A 21,198-nucleotide genomic window follows, 5' to 3' on the forward strand; every position below is an offset into this window, starting at 1 on the left:
CTCTCCTTTTAGGTAGAAAAGAGATTTCAGGAACTCAAATATCTTCTGCTTAAAATAATTTTTATGTCACAGCGGCTTATTCCAGACCTATTCAATACCTACAAGTGAAATTACTGGCTCATATGGAAACTCTTATGTTGAAGCTTTTGAGGAACTTCCCAATTGTTTTCCAAAGCAGCTGTACCATTTTACATTCTTACTGGCAATGTATGAGGGTTCCAGTTTCTCCACGTCCTCCCCAACACTTGTTATTATCTTTTAATTATAGCTTTCCTATCCTAGTGGGATAAGATACCTTTACCACCTCACTTCACACTTGAATACCCTTGAAGTGGTATAATTGTGGTGTATTTTTTTTTAATTTTATTATTATTATACTTTAAGTTTTAGGGTACATGTAAATTGTGGTTAGAAAAAACACACATAACAGAAGTTACCATCTTACTCACTTTTAAGCATACAGTTCAGTAGTGTATTCACATTCTCGTGCAATAGATCTTCAGAACTTTTTCATCTTGCCAAACTAAAATCCTGTATCGATTAACGCCCCATTTCTCCCTCCCCCAGCCCCTGACAACCACCATTTTATGGTATAACTGTGATTTTGACTTGCGTTTCCCTGATGGTTAATTATACTGAACATCTTTTCATGTTTTTATTAACCGTTTGTATATCTAGTTAGTTCTTTAACCTTTTGTTTTTCAGACAGAGTCTGGCTCTGTCACCCAGGCTGGAGTGCAGTGGCGCGATCTCGGCTCACTGCAAGCTCCGCCTCCCGGGTTCACGCCATTCTCCTGCCTCAGCCTCTCGAGTAGCTGGGACTACAGGCGCCCGCCACCACACCCAGCTAATTTTTTGTATTTTTAGTAGAGACGGAGTTTCACCGTGTTAGCCAGGATGGTCTGGATCTCCTGACCTCATGATCCGCCCACCTCGACCTCCCAAAGTGCTGGGATTACAGGCATGAGCCACCACGCCCGGCCAACCCATTTTTAAATTAGGTTGTAACAGTTCTCTATTATTGAATTGTAAGAGTTCTTTATATATACTAGACACAAGTCCCTTTTGGTACATGATCTACAAATATTTTTCTCCCATTCTGTGAGCTATCTTTTCACTTTCTTGATAGTGTCCTTTGAAGCACAAAAGTTTTCAATTTTGATGAAATCCAACTTATCTATTGTTTCTTTTGTTACTTGTGTTTTGGGTGTCATATCTAAGAAGGCTTTGCCTAACTCAAGGTCACAAAATTTACACCTATATTTTTTATAAGGGTTTTATAGTCTTAGCTTTTACATTTTGATCAATTTTGAGTTAATTTTTATATTCGGTGTGATAAAGTGAATTCCGCTTCATTCTTTAACATTTGGTTATCTAGTTATCCCAGTACTGTCTGTTGAAAAGACTACTGTTTCTTTATTGAATTGTCTTGGTACCCTTGTTGAATCGACTATAAATTTGAAGGTTTATTTCTGGACTCTGAATTCTATTCTATTGATCTATATGGCTATGTTTATGCTAGTACTGTAGTTTCTCACTTATAGAAGCTTTGTGGTAAGTTTCAAAATTGGTAAGCAAAAGTCCTCCAACTTTGTTCTTTTTAAAGATTGTTTTGGCTATGCTGGGTCCCTTGAATTTTAGTATGAATTTTAGGATCAGCTTGTCAACATCCGCAAAAAAAAAAAAAAAGCCTACTGGGATTTTGATAGCAATTACACTGAACCTTTAGATCAATTTGGGGAATATTGCCATATTAACAATATTAAGTCTTCCAATCTATGAATATGGGATTTTTTTTGTTTATTTAGGTCTTTAATTTTTTAAAATAATATTTTAAAGTTTTCAGAGTGTAAGTTGTACTCGTTTTATTAAATTTATTTCAAAGCATTTTATTCTTTTTGATGCTATTGTAAATAGAATTGTTTTAATTTCATTTTCAAATTATTCATTACTGGCATATAGAAATAACTTGATTTTTGATTATTGATTTTTGGATATTGATATTGTACTCTTCAAATTTTAGAACTTGTTTATTAGTTTTAATAGTTTTTTAGTAGATTCCTTAGACTTACATACAAGATCATGTCATATGCAAGCAGAAGTAATTTTACTTTTTCCTTTCCAGTTTGAATGCCTTTTATTTGTTTTTCTTGCCTAATTTGCCTGGATAGAACTTCCTGTCTAACCCTTTCCTCCTAGTCTCCATTACCCTTATATGTCATTTACACATGTCAATGTTGAATTGACATGGGCAGAGTGGACATCCTTGCCTTGTGCCTGATCTTAGGGGGCATGTCCTTTAATGAGCCACCCTGGGAAGTCACATAGTATCATTTCTATTGTACCCTGTTAGTCAAGCAGTCACAAGCCCATGCAGATTCAAGGAAAGCAGACACAGACTCCACCTCTTGATCGAAGAAGTACAAATGAATTTTCACCCATATTTTAAAGCCACTACTATTTAGTTTCTTAGACACCAAGTGAATAATGTATTTCAGAGAGGAGAGAGTGATCTATGTCAAATGATACCATTAGATTATGTGAGATATGAGAATTGGCCATTGGATTCAGCAATGCAGAGGTCACGTGTGGCCTGGATAAGCCCAATTTTGGTTATGTCTGTGGTGAAAACCCATTTGGAATGAAGTCAAGTGAGTATGGGCAGAGAGGAATGGGAAGCAGCAAATAGAATCAACTCTTTTGGGAATTTTGTTATAAGGAGAAACACAGAAATAGTGTGGTAACTGTCAATATGGGTTTACCAGTGTTTAGTTTTAAGATGAGAGAAAACAGCATGTTTGAATGCCCATGAAAACAAATCAGTGGAGGGGAAAAAATGATAATGCTGAGATACTAGGAGTAATTGCAGGAGTGATGTCTTTGAGAGAACAAAAGAACACTAGCATATCTCCTATCTCTTGTATCTTCAGTCTAACTTATTTCCTTCTGCCTCATATTATGCTAGATATTACCAGTACTAAAGAACTCCCCCACCCCAGCCCTGTTTCTCATTCCACCCTATTACTCCTATTTAGCTTCCATCCTGTTACTATTTCTCTTAGTTCCAGACATCTTGAGAAAGTCTACAACAATGATTCCCCAGTGCTGCTACTTAGCAGAATCACAACTCAGATCTTAGACATATTGAGTCAGAAGTTCCCCAGATAATGCTAATACTACTAAGTCTGGGACCCTCTGAACCCTACACTATGGTCATTTTTGTTTTCTTGTTTCTTATTCACGATTAATTATGCCTCCTCTTTTATATTCTGATTATTGACTTAAACTGATTTCCCAAGGGTGCCCATTAAGCTCCTGTTTACCCCATGCCATGACCTTTCCTTGCTCCTCATTCTTCATGGCCCCGCTTTGAAGGATTCTACACATAACTAGTTTTCTCCTCCTAGAAAGTTACTTGTCCTGGCTTCTGAGTCACCATGTTCCATTGCATTTCAATGGTGCTTAAGAACTGCTTTTAGGGGAGAGGTAAAAATGCAGACCCCCAGATCTATCTCTCTTAAAATACTGATTTAATAGGTCTAGGATCTGGCCCAGGAATCACCTCTCTAACAAGCCTTCAGACGATTCTTTTTTTTTTTTTTTTTTAGATGGAGTTTCACTCTTGTTGCCCAGGCTGGAGTGCAATGGCGCGATCTCGGCTCACCGCAACCACCACCTCCCAGGTTCAAGCGATTCTCCTGCCTCAGCCTCCCGAGTAGAGTAGCTGGGATTACAGGCATGCACCACCATGCCAGCTAATTTTTTATTTTTAGTAAAGATGGGGTTTGTCCATGTTGGTCAGGCTGATCTCGAACTCCCGACCTCAGGTGATCTACCCACCTCAGCCTCCCAAAGTGCTGGGATTACAGGTGTGAGCCACTGCCTGAAGCAGGTGGTCCACAGATATCACTGCCATGAACTGCATCTTTCCCTAGGTCTCTACAGGCCCTATGCATCATTCATGGGACCAATGTCTTGTTAAGCACCATTTCCGCGGTGTATCTGGCAGTGCATGGAATAGACACTGAGGAGTCAAGCATAGACCTGCTATTATCAAAGAGTGCACCATCTATGCTCTCTCTTATTTATTGCAATCAGCCCTTACTTCTAGACTGATTCTTCTCAAATCAATTTTTCTATTTTTGGTCTTTCTGCTGAGTTTGAAACTTTCATTGCTAAGTGGCTAATGGATGTTTCCACTCATGTTTCCCACAGGCCCCTCCACCATGTCCAAGTAGAACACATCTTCCTACAAAAACTGTTTCTCTCTCACTTTCCCCTCCTGAGTTAGCGACATTGCTATCTTCCCAGAATCCCACATTCCCCTTCTTCTGGCCCCTCGTCTCTCCCCCAATATTCGATCAGTCAGCAAATCTTGATTCCACTCCTGTATTATTAGTTTCTGTGTCTGTCCCCTTTCCCTGCCTGCTAAACCTGACTTACTCCACACTCCTAGTCTCCATTACACCTTCCTCAGCCTGGTTCTTTAAAGGTAGGTGTACCTCAATGCTCAGTCCTGAGCAATCTCTTCTTACCACCCATCCTTTGGCTGATTCCATCCATTCCCATGTTGGCAATTCCTAAACTCTCTATCTTCAGGCTAGAACTTTCTTTTGAACCCTAGACCCATGTATCTCCACTCTGTCTCATAGGTTCATCAACCTCAACATGTCCAAAGCTCAACTCAGCATGTTCCCCATAACTCTGTTTTGCTTCCTGAGTTCCTCATCTTGATGAATGATACCATCCCCAACCTTGTTGGCCAAACCAGAAACATGGCCATCATTTCTTATCACTCCTGTTTTGTACCCTCTTCTAAATATCTTTCAAATCTTGTCTTTACCCCTGCCTCTCTTCCCACCTCCATGCTAGGCTTCTCACTACCACCATTAGATGACTTTGTAGCCATCTCCTAACAGTCTCTTTGCCTCCTGTTTGAGTCCTCCCATCATACCCATTCATTCTCCACATCCAACCAGGTAGCTCTTTATAAAAAACTAATCAAGTTACTTCTGATTAAAACCCTTCAATGACTCCCATTTACTGTCAGGAGAAAAGTTTAAATCTTATCAAGCCCCTTCCTGATTTTGCCTCTGTTTATGTTTGCAGCCTTGTTACCTCTGTTTTCCCCTTTCACACTCCCCACTCCAGCTAGCCTGTACCATTTCCATGTCCCATAACATACCACGGTTTTTATTTGTTTTTTTCTTTTTTTTAGAGACAGGGTCTAGCTCTGTCACCCAGGCTGGAGTGCAGTGTCGTGGTCATGGCTCACTGCAGCCTCGAATTCCTGGGCTCAAGTGATCATTCTGCCTCAGCCTCTTGAGTAGCTAGGACTACAGGCATATGCTACCATGCCTGGCTTTTTTTTTTTTTTTTTTTTTTGAGACAGATCTCACTTTATTGCCTAGGCTGGAGTGCAATGGCGCAATCTTGGTTCACTGCAAGCTCTGCCTCCCGGGTTCAAGCAATTTTGCTGCCTTGGCCTCCCGAGTAGCTGGAATTACAGGCACATACTACCATGCCCGGCTAATTTTTGTATTTTTAGTAGAGACGGGGTTTCACCATGTTAGCCAGGTTGGTCTTGAACTCCTGACCTCAGGTGATCCACATGCCTTGGCCTCCCAAAGTTCTGGGATTACACACGTGAGCTACCACACCCGGCCACCTGGCTTTTTTAATTTTTTTTTTTTTTCAGTAGAGAGAGAGTCTCGCTATGCTGCCCAGGATGGTCTTAGACTCCTGGCCTCAAGTGATCCTCCTGCCTTGGCCTCCCTAAGTGCTGGGATTATAGGCTTGAGCCACTGTGCCTGGCCAACATAACATGCTTAAGCCCATCTTAGCATTTATCACATTGTGTGTTATTTGCTTGTTTACTTCTCTCTGTCTCTCAGTAGACTAGAAACTACTTAGGACAGGAGCTGACTTGTTTCTCCAAGTATTCCCATTGCTTTGTACAGAGTTTACCATTTAACAAATACTTGTGAAATGAATAAATGTATCTTAAAAGTATTGAGGAATCACTGCAGTAATTTTAAATATAGCAATATAATCAGATTTGTATTTTTAAAATATCAGTATGGGAAGTGGTTTGAAGTGTAACAGTCTACAAAGTGATGTGTGGGAAAAGTATTAGAACTCATATTTATTTTTAGCTACATAGAAAATTAAATTTTACTAATATTCGATTAGCATTAGGACATGTCAATCGCTTATCAATAAATGTACAAATTTGGAGGATAGTTTAGTGTTTGAATTGGGGGGATACTTAGAAATAAATATACAAATTTGGAGGATAATTTAGTGTTTGAATTGGGGGATAGTAGAGGTAGGAAAATTAGGATCAAGATGCCACTATAGTAATACAGTTGAGGAACAGTAAGGGCCGAAGGACTTGATTTTTGATAATGGACAGGAGTGGCTTAGGGTAATTCTTACGCTTCTGACTTGGGTAAGGTGAATGATAACAGTCAGTGAATCTCGGAGCACATGTACACTTTTTCTGTTGGAGTGTTGCTCCCTGGAGGCAAGACTGTCTTAGTCATGTTTGTGCCTCTCTCCTGAGAACACCATTTATTCATTCAAGCACTTATTAGTTCATTCAGAAAATACTTAGAAGGTCTACTTTGAATGAGCTGCTGTCCTTGGTGCTAGAGAGAGGATGAACAAGATACTAGAGGTCCTGGCCCTCGAGCAACTCACATGGATGGGTAAGGGTGAGGGGAGACTAACAATAAACAGTAAGCAAAAAATATCATGAAGGCGCCATGAAGGAAACAGACAAGTTAGGGAGTAGTTGTAGATAGGAGAGTGTCAGGGAAGGTATCTCTGAAAAGCCTTCAGTTGAGCTCAGCCCTCAGGGTTAACAGAAACCCAGCTTTGTCAAGAGGCTGTCTGTAGCATTTTGGGTGGAAGGAACATGAAGTACAGTGGCCCAAAGTGGGAAAGAACTTGAGGTGTTAGAGGAACAGAAAAGAGGCCTGTGTGACTGGAACTGAATAAACAAGGAGGAGCAACACGGATGGAGTTGGAGAGAGTACAGGCCTTACTGGCTGTGGGTAGGAGTCGACATTGTCTTCTATGCAGTGGGAAGACATCAGAGTTGAAGCTGGGAAGTGAACTTTTCTGAGTTGCACTTTTAAAAGACTGAGGAAGAAACGTATTTGGAGGAATCAAGTATTCAGTTTCAGACATTTTAAATGTGAGATGCAATGTTAAGCCTACCTTGTTTATTTAACTAGTTGAACCTCCAGGCATTTAATTTCTTCTGTGTTTATCATAGCTAGGTCCTCTAGAATTCTGCAGATATGTACCAGGCATAAGACTGAGTTAATGAGTCAGATTAGGAGGAGGAGGGGGAACAGCCATCATATGTTTTCTCTGCTCTGAGCACTTTGTATTTGTGCCAGTAGTGCAGCTCCAAACCCACCTGTCAGCCCCAAACCCACCCTTCTATACTTTGCTTAGTAATGCTGGGACTAGGCCTCTGCAAACCACATGTATGCTTTCCCAGGTGCTCCCATGAGGCTTTGCAAATCAGAGCAATGGAGGGAGACTGGAAGACAGATAGGAGGAAGAAGGGATTTGCTCTTTCCTGTTTGTTTCCCATGAGCTTCCTGTTTGCTTCTCATTCCTGTGAGCATCACCCCAGCCTCACTTCTGTACCTTGACAGTAGTGGTTGATTCCAGGAGCAGCAGTTGAATCCAGGTTGCAGTTTTTCCAACATTTTCCAAACCTGCCTCCTCACCCCCACCCAGGACCCAGCTCCAGGCCCAGCAGCACCCCCTTCTCAGAGATTTCAGTGTTTCAGATCTGTCGGGCTCCTCTAAACTTCTACATTTTTGTAATTCCAACTTCACTTTGTTTCCCCAGCTCTGTGGATGGTAGCCGTTTCCTGCAATTGCTACTAGTGTTATACCTTAGTGTTTTCCTGTTGATTTTTCAGTTAACAACTCTTTGTGTTAATCTCTGATAAAATAATTGGTGTGTTTTTTGTCTCCTGGCTGGATTTCAATCAATATAATTAGATATTATCTCCTATAATTCTGGCACAATTTCCTAAAGTAGACAGAAAATTGAAACCAAATAAGGTTAAATAATTATCTCATATTACAAAGCTACAAAGTGGCAGAGTTGGGATTTGAATCCAGTTTTGTTTTGCCTGAAGCTTGTGCTCTAAAAACTAGTCACCTTCCTACACTGCCTGAAAAATACATGGTTTTTAAACATCAAACTGTAGGTACAATTTCCAAATTATTTCATCATTTTTATTGCTTTTCTATAACCTATTATCAGCCTCAGCATTTCCCAAAATATATCCCAAGTGACAACAGTACTACAAGAAGACCTGTGAAATGTAGATTCTGTACTCAAGTCAGCTTAAGAACGGTCACACAGTGTACTCTTCGGAAGACTCACGACAAACATTAGCATAAGAAAGGCTCCGAGAAATCTTGGAATAAAATTTAAATTTGCATTCAGTCAGTTTCTTATAAATGTCCTGACTGGGAACATCCCAAGGATGTGGAAATGGGGAGTTAAACAATATCAAATCTCATGTGTCTCTTGCAACAGTAGTGCCTGGTTAGGAGAAACCTGATGGTGCCAGCTATTGTGGGATGCTCTCATCATACAGAAGTTGCTTTTAAAAAAATCTCGGGGAAGGGGATTCTGGTCTTTGTTTAGGTTATAAAAACATGATCTCAGATTGGTACTTGTTTGCATTTAAACTATTTCAACCTGTGGATACATTTCTATTTCACCTTCAGTTGAAAAAGATGTAAGCAATTCTTGGATCAATAACCAAGGTAAGAATAGGTATTTGATGACTTCCAGTATAAGCAACTTTTATTTTGTTTCTCTCCTGTCAGCCTGGGAGCAGGTTATCTCTGCACAAGATCTGAAGTCCCACTTTTGTAATCCTGACCTGTATAAATCCTCTAAATAGGAGTGGTTTTGCAATGCTTATATTTAACTTTCTGAATGTATTTACTTGAAAATTTATCTATGATACTTTATAAGACTTTCTACTGTAAAAAAAAAAAACCTATAATTAATACTTCACACATTTGCTTATTTTTAAAAAGTGAGAACCCATCTGCATTTCTGTTTGAAATTGTGGTTGATTTTATATTTACATTGTATTTGAATAACTGTATCAGTTAATTGGTTTGAGTTATTTTGATTATTTAAATTTTGATTTAAAAATCAGTAAAAAATACAGGGTCCCTGACTAAAGTAAGTCCAAAAAGTTAGTTAACCCCTGTCATCTGACTCCATTCCAGAGAAAGCTGCCTCAAAAGTTTTCTTCATGGAATATTACTCTACCTTAAAAAGGACTGAAGTACTCCCTGCAGCCAGACACTGGTTATTACTGCATGGAGGTGAACATGTCTTCATTTACTTAATTGAGTTTATTGAGTGTCTTCTATGTGCCACTCACTGGGCCAAGTGCTAGAGACAACAACAGTAACAACAACGAAAGGAGCCAGGTGTGGTGGCTCACACCTATAATCCCAGCTACTTAGGATGCTGAGGTGGGAGAATTACTTGAGTCCAGGAGTTGATTCCAGCCTGGGCAACACAGTGAGAATCCATCTCTTTAAAAAAGGAAAAAAAAAAAAAAAAAAAGATGGCCAGGCACAGTGGCTCACACCTGTCATCCCAGAACTTCGGGAGGCTAAGGTGGGAGGATTTCTTGAGGCCAGGAGTTTGAGACAGCCTGGGCAACATAGTGAGACCCCGTCTCTACAAAAAATAAAAATAAAAAAATTAGCCGAGTGTAGTAGTATGCACCTGTAGTCCCAGTTACTTGGGAGGCTGAGGTGGGAGGATCGCTTGAGCCAGGGAGGTCGAGGCTGCAGTGAACCATGATTGTACCACTGCACTCCTGTCTGGGTGACAGAGCAAGACCTTGTCTCAAAAAATAAGAAAAAGAAATGAGGTACTGATACATGTTATGACATAGATGAACCTTGAAGACTTTATGAGAAGTGAAATAAGAAGCCAGTCGCAAAATAACAAGTATTATATTTCACTTACATGAGGTACCTAGAGCATTCAAATTAATAGAGACAGAAAGTAGAATGATGGTTGTCAGGGGCTGGGAGGAGGGAGAATGGGGAGTTACTGCTTAACAGATATAGAGTTTCAGTTTGGGATGATGAAAAAGTTCTGGAAGTGAATTGTAGTGATGATTGTACAACATTGTGAATGTACTTAATGCCACTGGAATGTATATTTAAGAATGGCAAAAAGGGTAAGTTTCATGTTATGTGTATTTGAGCACAATGAAACATGTATTTTTCTTCATGGATTCAGCATGCTTGTCCAATTCACATTCCAATGTGACTCCTAAAGAATAAGAATCACAGTTGCTCGGGGCTGGGCAGGGTAGCTCATGCTTGTAATCCCAGCACTTTGGGAGGCCAAGGCAGATGGATCACCTGAGGTCAGGAGTTCAAGACCAGACTGACCAACACAGTGAAACCCTGTCTCTACTAAAAATACAAAATTAGTTGGGCCTGGGGGCGCACATCTGTAATCCCAGCTACACGGGAGGCTGAGGCAGGAGAATCACTTGAATCCGGGAGGCGGAGGGTGCAGTGAGCTGAGATCATGCCATTGCACTCCAGCCTGGGCAAAAAGAGTGAAACTCCATCTAAAAAAAAATAAAAAAAAAATCACAATTGTTCATGGCCTTTGGGTACTGGCATTCTATTTACTTAAAATCGGGTTCAAGGAGTCTTTTTTTCTGGAAAAATTCTCTAAATTGAGAAAGTGAAGACAATTTGAAAACTATCCTCAAAATAGTAAGAACTTTAGTGAAACATGAAAACGGATTCTCCAAGGGTCCCAAAGTTTCCCCTGAGGCTCACTCTGGCCTGGCTTCTCCTGTGCCGGCCAGCAGCTATGGTTTGGGTTTGGATTATCAGGCCATGGCCCCACTAGTGTAAAAAGGTGCTAGAGAATCAGAAAATTGGTGCAGGCAATTACTACTCTGCCCCGGGCTAACAGAATGCTGACTTTCTGTTTGAATGTGTGCCCCTGCCAAAGCCAAGATATTTCTGAGCTCCTTATGATGAGATCTGAACTCAAGTTTAGTCTCCCTAAGCCACAGTTCCTAGGCCTTCCCAGCTTGCCTTTCACTGTTGCTATCTTAGCAGACCTGACTCCTGATTTAGCCTTCCCACATGCCATCTGTCACCAGTTCTGCAGTTCCTTCCTCCTCTCTCTCTCTTCATCCCCTTGAATCCTGATTCTAGCCCTGGCAATCCTCTCATAGGCCTTATGACATGGCTTTGAGAGACCATGTCTTCGAAGAGTGAATAAAGCATCTCTCTGTGTGAGGCAGAGCCACACTGCACATTAGCCAAATCAACACACTCAAATTTGTGTCAAACAAAAAGGAAAATTAATGCTTATTAAGTACCTACTATGTCCCAAGTAATGTGCCAGTTATTTTCAAACCTCTTAACAAGCTTAAGAGGGCAGGCATTACAATTATTTATTTATTTATTTATTTTTTAGACGGAGTCTCACTTTGTTGCCCAGGCTGGGGTGCAGTGGCGTGATCTCAGCTCACTGCAAGCTCCGCCTCCCAGGTTCACGCCATTCTCCTGCCTCAGCCTCCCTAGTAGCTGGGACAACAGGAGCCCGCCACCATGCCAGGCTAATTTTTGTTGTATTTTTAGTACAGACGGGGTTTCACCGTGTTAGCCAGGATGGTCTCGATTTCCTGACCTCGTGATCCGCCTGCCTCAGCCTCCCAAAGTGCTGGGATTACAGGCGTGAGCCACTGTGACCGGCCAATTATTTAATATTTTTAATATAGACACCACTTTCCCACAGCTGGGCCCACTTTTCAGGAAACATGCTAGATCTTAGTGGCAAATATAGAGGCAGAGATCTAGCTGATGATGCCACCTGGGCCTGCTTCCAATTGGTCTTCTTATTTCCTTAATTCTGGGCACTTCTGTTCAGTCACCCACACTTTTACTAGTCAATTCCTTCTCCACATCCAGATCCGAATAACCTGTGCTCACTTGCAAACTCTCACTTGTCAACGGTTCTGTACCTGTCCTGAATCGAGTCCAGAGAATCACCTGTGCTGGTCTCCTTCTAAGAAAGAAATGGTCTCCCTGCCTGCTGGCCATGTTTCTAGTTCCCCTGAATTCCATTCCTCCCAGATTACTGCCTAGTCATCTGCCCTTTGGAAGGTAGACTTTGCATTAAAATTCATTTTACATTAGACTGTCTGATATCACACCTGGTAACCCTAAGAATCCTCCAGATCCTTTAAAATATGCAATTAAGAGTGAAATCTACACTTTTGGTCACTTTTTATTTGAACATATAAAATGCACTTTTGTCGCTCAGAACAGCCTTTAAACAGTGCAGTTTTCTCATAATGGCAGCCAGCAGGGGACAGGCCTTTACCATTTAAAGAGCACCAGGCACTGTTAGGCACTTCACATGTTCTTCCCTTCAAGTATCCCAGCAACCCTATAGGTGAGTAGTAATATCCCCATCTTACAGATGGTGAAATAGATTAAGTAACTGTCCGCAGTTGCACAGCTGCTCAGATCACATTTGAAATACCTTGTCTAGTTCCTAGAGTCACTGTAAGCCAAGGGATAAGTTAGTTCAGGAAGGTTTTCAAACTAGCAGATGCCAAGAAGAGATAGACATGCAAGCCATTTATTGGGGGAAATACCTGTGAACGTTGAATGAGAGAGCAAAAACAGGTTGGGAGAGCCATCAGACAAGGACGCAGGTATGGTATATGTAAAAGGAGAGAGGGGGAGAATGATTGGGTAGCACTACAGCACCATTCTGAGAAAGTCTCTGCTAAGTGGATGGGGTGTTCCTCCTTTGATGCTCTTGGAGGAATCTCACATCGGTCAGGGATGGCCCAGCCCTAGTACGCATGCTGTGCTCCGTCACTGGCTAAAGGCAGCCCAAAGGAGGCATGGCCTTGACATGAAAACTATGGTTAACCCAAAGGGCAGCAGCTGGAGCTGGCTACCACCCAGTGGCAGACTCTCTGGGAGGAGAGCTGAGCAGTGCACCTCCATGCCACAGAGAGAACAAAAATTTAAAGAAAGCATAGGCTGGGCACAGTGGCTCATGCCCGTAATCCCAGCACTTTGGGAGGCCGAGGTGGGCGGATCGCTTGAGCTCAGCAGTTTGAGACCAGCTGGACAACATGGCAAAACCCTTCTCTACAAAAAAAGAAAAAAAAAAAAAAAGTTAGGCAGGCATGGTGGTGTATGTGCCCGTGGTTCCAGCTACTCTGGCGGCTGAGGTGGGAAGACAGCATTGAGCCTGGGAGGTTGACGCAACAGTGAGCTGTGATTGCACCACTGCATTCCAACCTGAGTGACAGCGAGACTCTGTCTTCTCAAAAAAGCAATGGCCAATTCAGCATCATCTAAATAGTCACACGGAGGATGTGAGACCAGTGGCTTCAGCATCATCTAAATAGTCAATACAGATGGATGTGAGACCAGTGGCTTTCAGTATTCTGAATGTCACAAGTCAGAAAGACCAGAAGACCAGTTAAAGTCACCAAGGTTTTATTTTTATTTTTCCAAGTAAGGACATTAAACAGTTAAATACCACTTATCATCACCACAATGTAATAGAAGATACTTTAATACTTCCCAAAACAGGAAGAGCAGAATCTTAGCATAAAGTCCTTTAAGTTGAATAGATTTAGAACAATGAAAAAGCATTGTTCTTACTAGTCTTGTTTTGCTGCAGTTTAGGTAAAAACACCCTCATGAGCTGGGTACCAGTCCATGGACTGGGTCTCAAAACTGTTCAAGGGCATTTAATTATAGGATGGGGATAGACCTGGGCTCTTCTAAGATATTTTCCAGCCCTGAGACTCATTCATTCAATTCATAAGTATATACTGTGCACTTCTACATGACAGGTCCTATGAACATATTGAGGATCCTAGGAATAAATAAGGTGCTTGTAATAAGGGTGTAAAATCTGGTAAGGGGAGAAAGATAATAAGGAGATAAGCGAATGAATAAGCAACATCATTTCTGTTTGTGGTAAGTGCTCCCATAAGGAAGGGGCCACCACTTTAGATAGTGTGGTCTAAAAAGCCTTCTTTAAGCAGGTGGCATTTGAGCTAAAACCTGAGGGAGTCAGCTTTTTGAGGCTCTGGGTGAGGAGTAGGAGAGACACAATTCTCCAGGAATATCAGTGGAAAGGCCTGGAGAAGGGAATGAGCTGGATGCGCCTGAGGAACTGAATGCAGGCCAGGGTGGGGGCCGGGGGCCCTGTAGCCGGCTAGGGAGGCAAGGCGTGTTCCTAGTGTCCAGCTCAGAACCCACTCTACTGCTCCAAAAACCTGACTTCGCCAACAGACACTTCTCTTCGTCTAAATATGCCGTAGAAGTCCAAAGGACAGTAGAGTGTGAAATTGCTTGGAAAGAAAGGGATGTCTGGGTATTTTCCCAGAAATCCCCAAAGGGACACATTTACCTTAGCAAATTCGCCAGGGTCCTCCTTTGTGCAGAGGGAAAAAAAAAGGATCAGGCCAATTAGGACATCTTTCAGGAGCTGACATACATTCAGCAAGCTTATGAGATTGTTGCATGCATCCAACATGAAAGAGAATTAATTTACAGCGAGAATTCTACTGAGGGCACCCAAATCTTGCACACGCCTGCCAGCACATTTTCTTCCTGTAAGTACTCCATATGGGATGACATCTTCTAATCAGGCTTTTGGGATTGGAATATGGGGACTAGGATGCCTTAAAGATGGGCCCAACGTGGTGGCTGGCGCCTGTAATCCCAGCCACTCTGGAGGCTGAGGCAGAGAATTGCTTGAACCCGAGAGGCGGAGGTTGTAGTGAGCTAAGATCGCGCCACCACACTCTAGGCTGGGCGACAAAGTGAGACTCCATCTCAAAAAAAAAAAAAAAAGATGGGCCTGAGTGGCACCGAGATGACTGGGATGCTGTCTTTCATCTAGAGAGGGCTTGTGTGGACACTGAATGGGCATTCCCTTTTCACTCCATCTGTTTGTAGCTGCCCCTGTTGCTTCTCTGGGCCATTCTTTCAGATGGCTTTGCATAATTGTGCTCTGATGTTTCCCAAGTTGTCTGATGTCAAGAATCACCAGGGTCTCTTGATAAAAATACAGACCTCCATGCCCACTCCCAGAAGATTCTGTTTAGGAGGATTTTGTGAGGTCTGCAAATATGAGTGACTTCCATGAGCAGTCCAGGTGATTCTTATCAAGTGTATTTAGGAAACTCTGCATTCACTTTTCATTTTTTAATTTCATTTATTTATTTATTTTATTTTTTGAGACAGAGTCTGGCTCTGTCACCCAGGCTGGAGTGCAATGGTGCAATCTCAGCTCACTGCAACCTCTGCCCCAAGGGTTCACGTGATCCTCCCACCTAAGCCTCCCAAGTAGCTGGGATTACAGGCGTGTGCCACCATGCCCAGCTAATTTTTGTATTTTTAATAGAGACAAGGTTTTGCTATGTTGGCCAGGCTGGTCTCGGACTCCTGACCTCAAGTGATCTGCCCATTTTGGCCTCCCAAAGTGTTGGGATTACAGGCGTGAGCCACCGCACTCGGCCTGCATTCAGTTTTTAAACAGTGTTTTCTAAACTTGCTGAATCATACAATTGCCTAGAACATTTGCTGCATATTGCAGATGCTCAGCCCCAGCCCAAGTGAATCAAAATCACCAAGCCAGGGGCCTGGGAATCTGTATGTTTAGTGAATGCTCAAGGTGCATCTTGTAACAAAGAGGTTTGGTAAACACTGTAATTGAGACTCACCTGGAACCTTTAGAAATATCCATTCACTGTAACTGCAGAGTAACTCAGGGATCTGATTTTTTTTTTTTTTTTTTTGAGTCAGAGTCTCGCTCTACCACCCAGGCTGGAGTGCAGTGGTATGCTCAGGGCTCACTGCAGCCTTGACTTCCCAGGCTCAAGCCAGTCTTCTGCCTCAGCCCCCAAAGTAGCTGGGACTACAGGCATGCACCACCATGCCCAGCTAAAATTTTTTTTTGAATTTTAATAGAGATGAGAGCTCACTATTGCCCAGGCTGGTCTTGAACTCCTGAGCTCAAGCAATCCTCCCTCCTCCGCCTCCCAAAGTGTTGGGATTGCAGGTGTGAGCCACCATGCCCAGCAGGGATCTGCATTTTTAATAAGAGCCCAGGTGATTGTGATGCTCAAGTTTCGTGAACCCCTTTGAGAAACACTGCATTAAACTCTGATGTTGCTACAATTCATGTCTTTGTTCTTAATGCCAAAGCACTGACAGTATTTACTAAGAACGTGCACATCCCCTTGTGTTTGCAAATGTTGTTCACAACCCTCTGTGTCTGTGTTTTAAAACTTTCTACTTAACTCTGTTTTTTAACTTTCTATTAAGAAAAATCTCAAACACACAGAAAATTTAAAATAATAGTTCAGGGCAGGTGTGGTGGCTCATGCCTGTAATCCCAGTACTTTGGGAGGCTGAGGTGGGATGATCACTGGAGGTGAGGAGTTCGAGACCAGCCTGGCCAACTTGGTGAAACCCTGTCTCTACTAAAAATACAAAAATGAGCCAAGCATGGTGGCAGGCACCTGTAATCCCAGCTACTTGGGAAGCTGAGGCAGGAGAATCGCTTGAACCCAGGAGGTGGAAGTTGCAGTGAGCCAAGATCACACCATTGCACTCTAGCCTGGGTGACAGAGTGAGACTCTGTCTCAAAAAACCAAAACAAAACAAAAAAATAATAATAGTTCAATGTAGACCTATTATACTCACCACCTGATGCAACATTTGCCACATTTATCTATGTGTTTATGTATGTGTTTTTTGCTGAATTATTTATAAGTAAGTTGCAAACATCTTGACCACTTACCCAGACACCTCAGCATGATCATCTTTTTAAAAATGAAATGAAACGGTACTCTGCTTCATAACCACAATACCATGGTCACACCTAACAAAACTAATAATCATTCCCCAATATCAGCTAATTTCCAGCTTATGTTCAATATTTCCCCAATTATCCCCCAAATGTCTTTTATAGCTATTTTTTCAAACCTCAATGGATGAAGGGTCATACATTGCTTATGACCGTCGTGTGCCCTATGTCTCTTTTAATCTGGAGCAGTCCTGCCATTTTTTTCCAGGCCAGTTATCTTGGAGAATGTCTCTCTTTCTGGATTTGTCTGATTGTTTCATTATGGGGTTGCATTACCCTTAAACAAAAAAACATAATGCTGTGTGTGTGTGTGTGTCCTCCTCCCATTCCATACAAATATATATATGTGTGTGTGTATGTATATATATATATATATATATATATATATATAAAACATATATACAAAGTTTATATATATATACACAGAGAGAGAGAGAGACAGGTTTTCTCCTTCCCACCCAACATGCTCTCTTTTTTCCTCTCAATCACAGCTAATAATACTATATATTGAATACTTGCTACATGCCTGGTACTGTTTTAAGAAATCAAGTGTATTATTTGTTTACTCCTCATAATAACAACGAGGTAGGTTTGTTATCAGTAACACTAAACCATAGAGTGGGAGTGGCGTGAGAAAGGTCACAGGGCTGGTAAATGATGGAGCACTAGGCTTGAAGACTCAGGACTCTTGCTCTAGAGCCAGCCTTCTTAAACCACAAAAATACAATTATACTAAAGACACTTTTAAAACGTATCTTTCTAGGCCAATACATGTAAACTCGAATCATTCCTTTTTATCTCCAATAATTTATTATAAACATTTTCAAACATACAGAAAATTTGGAAGAATTAAACAGTGAGCACCTATATCCTCACCACCTATATACTACAATTAACATTTTGCTGTATTTGTTTTTTATCACGTTATCTATTTCTCTATCCATCAGTCTATTATATTTTGATGCATTTTACTCAAGTATAACTTTTTTTTTTTTTTTTGACACGGAGTCTTGCTCTGTCGCCCAGGCTGGAGTGCAGTGATGCAATCTCGCAATCTCGGCTCACTGCAACCTCTGCCTCCTGGGTTCAAGCGATTCTCCTGCCTCAGCCTCCCGAGTAGCTGGGATTACAGGTGCTCGCCACCACGCCCGGCTAATTTTTGTATTTTTAGTAGAGACAGGGTTTCACCATGTTGGCCAGGCTGGTCTCAAACTCCTGACCTCATGATCCACCCACCTTGACCTCCCAAAGTGCTGGGATTACAGGTGAAGTAGAACTTATTTTAAAAAATAAGTGCATAAGGCTGGGTGAGGTGGCTCACGCTTATAATCTCAGCACTTTGAGAGGATCGCTTGAGCCCAGGAGTTTTGAGACCAGCCTGAGCAACATAGTGAACCCTGTCTCTAAAATATATATATATTTTTTAAAAAGGGCATAAAGTTCGCAGTATGGCAGTTTAATACTTTATTTGCTCATTGCCCTGCAGATAGATATTCTAGCATTTTGCTATTACAAACTGCTAAAATTAACATTTTTGTATTTATACTTATATTTTAGTATACTTTATCTTATAGCAATGGTGCTTTTACTTCAGTGGGGTAGAGTCCTAAAAATTGCATTCTCAGGTAATCTGAAAAAGGATACATAATAGCTCATTCAGTAGATGCGGTTACTGGAGGATCACTTTCCACTAGCGTACAGCAAAGTCTGGGAAGACCTGCATTTCCTTCCCTTGTTTTACTTATAACTGCTAGAAGAAATATGAACTTAAGATACACGAACACGGAGTCCTCAGGATGCTTTCTTGATACAAACAATATCTAGATATCCTGGTCCCCATAGGGTGTCCTAAATGTTTAAAATTTTGCCTATCTGTGTTGAAACTATTTATCCAATGAACACCAGCTCAAAAGGCAACAGAGCCACAGTGTCTTCCTTAATTTTCTAGCAGAATTGCTACCTCTTCTTATCTCTCTCAACACTGTGTTGCCTCCCCTCAGACCCACTTCACATTGTACGTTTTTGTGAAGTGTGGGTGTGTGCACGCACGTGCCAAGAACATAATTTATGCTACACACTGGAGGTTGAAGAGAGCATGGTTCTTCTTCTACCTTTGTCTCTTCTAATTGCCTAGCACAGTGATTTATACTCAACAAATACTTTCTGTGAATGAATCAGTGAATGAAATGTAGAAGAGACGTGCAGAAGGGCAGACAGTGGCCGAATCCTGGAGTCTTTGTATGCCAGCCCAAATAGTCTGGAATGTATTCAGTGTCTATTCAGAAACCACAGAAAATGTCTGAGCTAGAGAGTGGAGAGATCAGAAGTGAGGAAGGGAGACCCACTACTGAGTCTAGGATAAGACCTAGGTAGGAAGTGATACAGGCTCAAACAATTCTTGGGAGTTATAGACCTAAATTTTATAGTAGAGTTTCTTTAGTTTCTTTTAAAATTAAGTTTTAGACAGTAGGCCTGAACTCACGTAGTGTTTTGGTTTTAGTTTTCTTACTCACAGTAGAAAAGTTAGAAAATATGGAGAAACAAGACAACAATACTCAGAAATCCTATCATGCAGAGAAGATCACCATTAGTTACCATTTTGGTGTAAATCTTTTCACACATTTTCCTATGGCATATATATGCATTTAAAATGTGTAATGAATATATGAAATTTTATTTATATATTTTCTTGCTATATAATATAATCATATATATGTTTGCTATATGGGCTTTTGTGTTAGATAAAAAATACCAAATGTCTTAATATTTTATCTTGAGGACTTGGCCCAGAACAAGTATTCAATATATATTTATCAAATGATTAAATGAATGGCAATTATCCATTGTCATTTACCTTTATGTAGAGATTTTAATACTTTTGCTCATTTATAAAGCAAATAATTAAAGCTTACAGCTCTGTTTTTATATCTAATGCATTTCTTTTGTTTTAGATTATTCTAGAAGAAATATAAATTTAAAATAAACATGAAATCTCTGGGATTTCTTATTTATGCAAATAATACCCAGGCATCCTCTTAAACAGTGATTTATAAATATGTCAATGATTTATCTAGAATTAGTAATCTTTGGAACATCTGAACATTTTAATTATTTGATCAAAAGTATTATTCACTCAGAAAACAATTTCTTCCCTTCCCAGATTCTAAGGAGGAGAAAAGCAAAATAATGTTGGGAATGTTAATTCATGATAATCTGATCTGTGTTTTATTCATATAAAGTATCTCTTGGTTAGTACCCCATCGTGTATTCAGTGCCTGTACTTGGTACTCAGAATACTCAGGGTACTTATTGCCTAACCCAGTGCCTGGCACAAGGTGACACAATAAGTATTTTTCAAATGAATAAATAGGAATACAGTGAACATAGACATAGTAATATCTCTTCTAATGAAAGGATATTTTCATTCATTTTTCAAGTGATGTGACTATATAGTAAGTGTTAGGCACTTCTTATTTATCAATAATACTGGGTCCAGGTTGACATAGGAAAAATCCACACTTAATACAATACCTTATATTTAATGAATGTATTTTTTTTTTCCTTTAGAGTGATGACTTCACTCTGGGGAAGAGTGAGGCCACATCCCTGGGTTTTATTTATACTCCCTTTCCTTTGCCCAGAGGAAAGGAATTGTTAACACACAAATACAAGAGTACTGACAGCTCATGTCATGCTCAACTTTATATGTCTTAGAGTGTCCTGAACAGTAAGAATTCAAAAATGAGATAAATCAATGTCTTTTCCTAGGTCAAAGGCTGGTGTAAGAACTACACTTTTCCAGTAGATGGCAGTATTTTCATTCACCAGCTTAAGTTTTGTTTTTTTTTTTTGTTGTTTTGTTTTTAGTTTTACTATACCTTTAGTAAGCTGCAGGTGAAAATACATGTTAATGAAATTTCTGGTTTTTTCACTTTCTTTTAAAAAAAATTCACTCTTGGGAGCTTCCAAAAGCCCTAGAACGACATCTGCTTTGCCTACAATTTATAGCAAGGTATATACCGAAGTAGACCATACTCTCTAATCCTCCCTATTTCCTGATATAAGTTATTACTAAGAATTAGCTAATTCATAGTAATCTCTTGGAGAAAATCTATCAAGCCTTTCTGCCTCTACAGTAACAAAACAAAACAAAAATAAAACACTGACTTCAGGTTTCCTGTTTTCTAAATAGGGCAAAATATTCATTAAATTAAGCGGATACCTCACCT

Source organism: Homo sapiens, chromosome 14, assembly GCF_000001405.40.
Source record: "Homo sapiens chromosome 14, GRCh38.p14 Primary Assembly".
In the NCBI taxonomy this organism is placed as follows: Eukaryota; Metazoa; Chordata; class Mammalia; order Primates; family Hominidae; genus Homo; species Homo sapiens.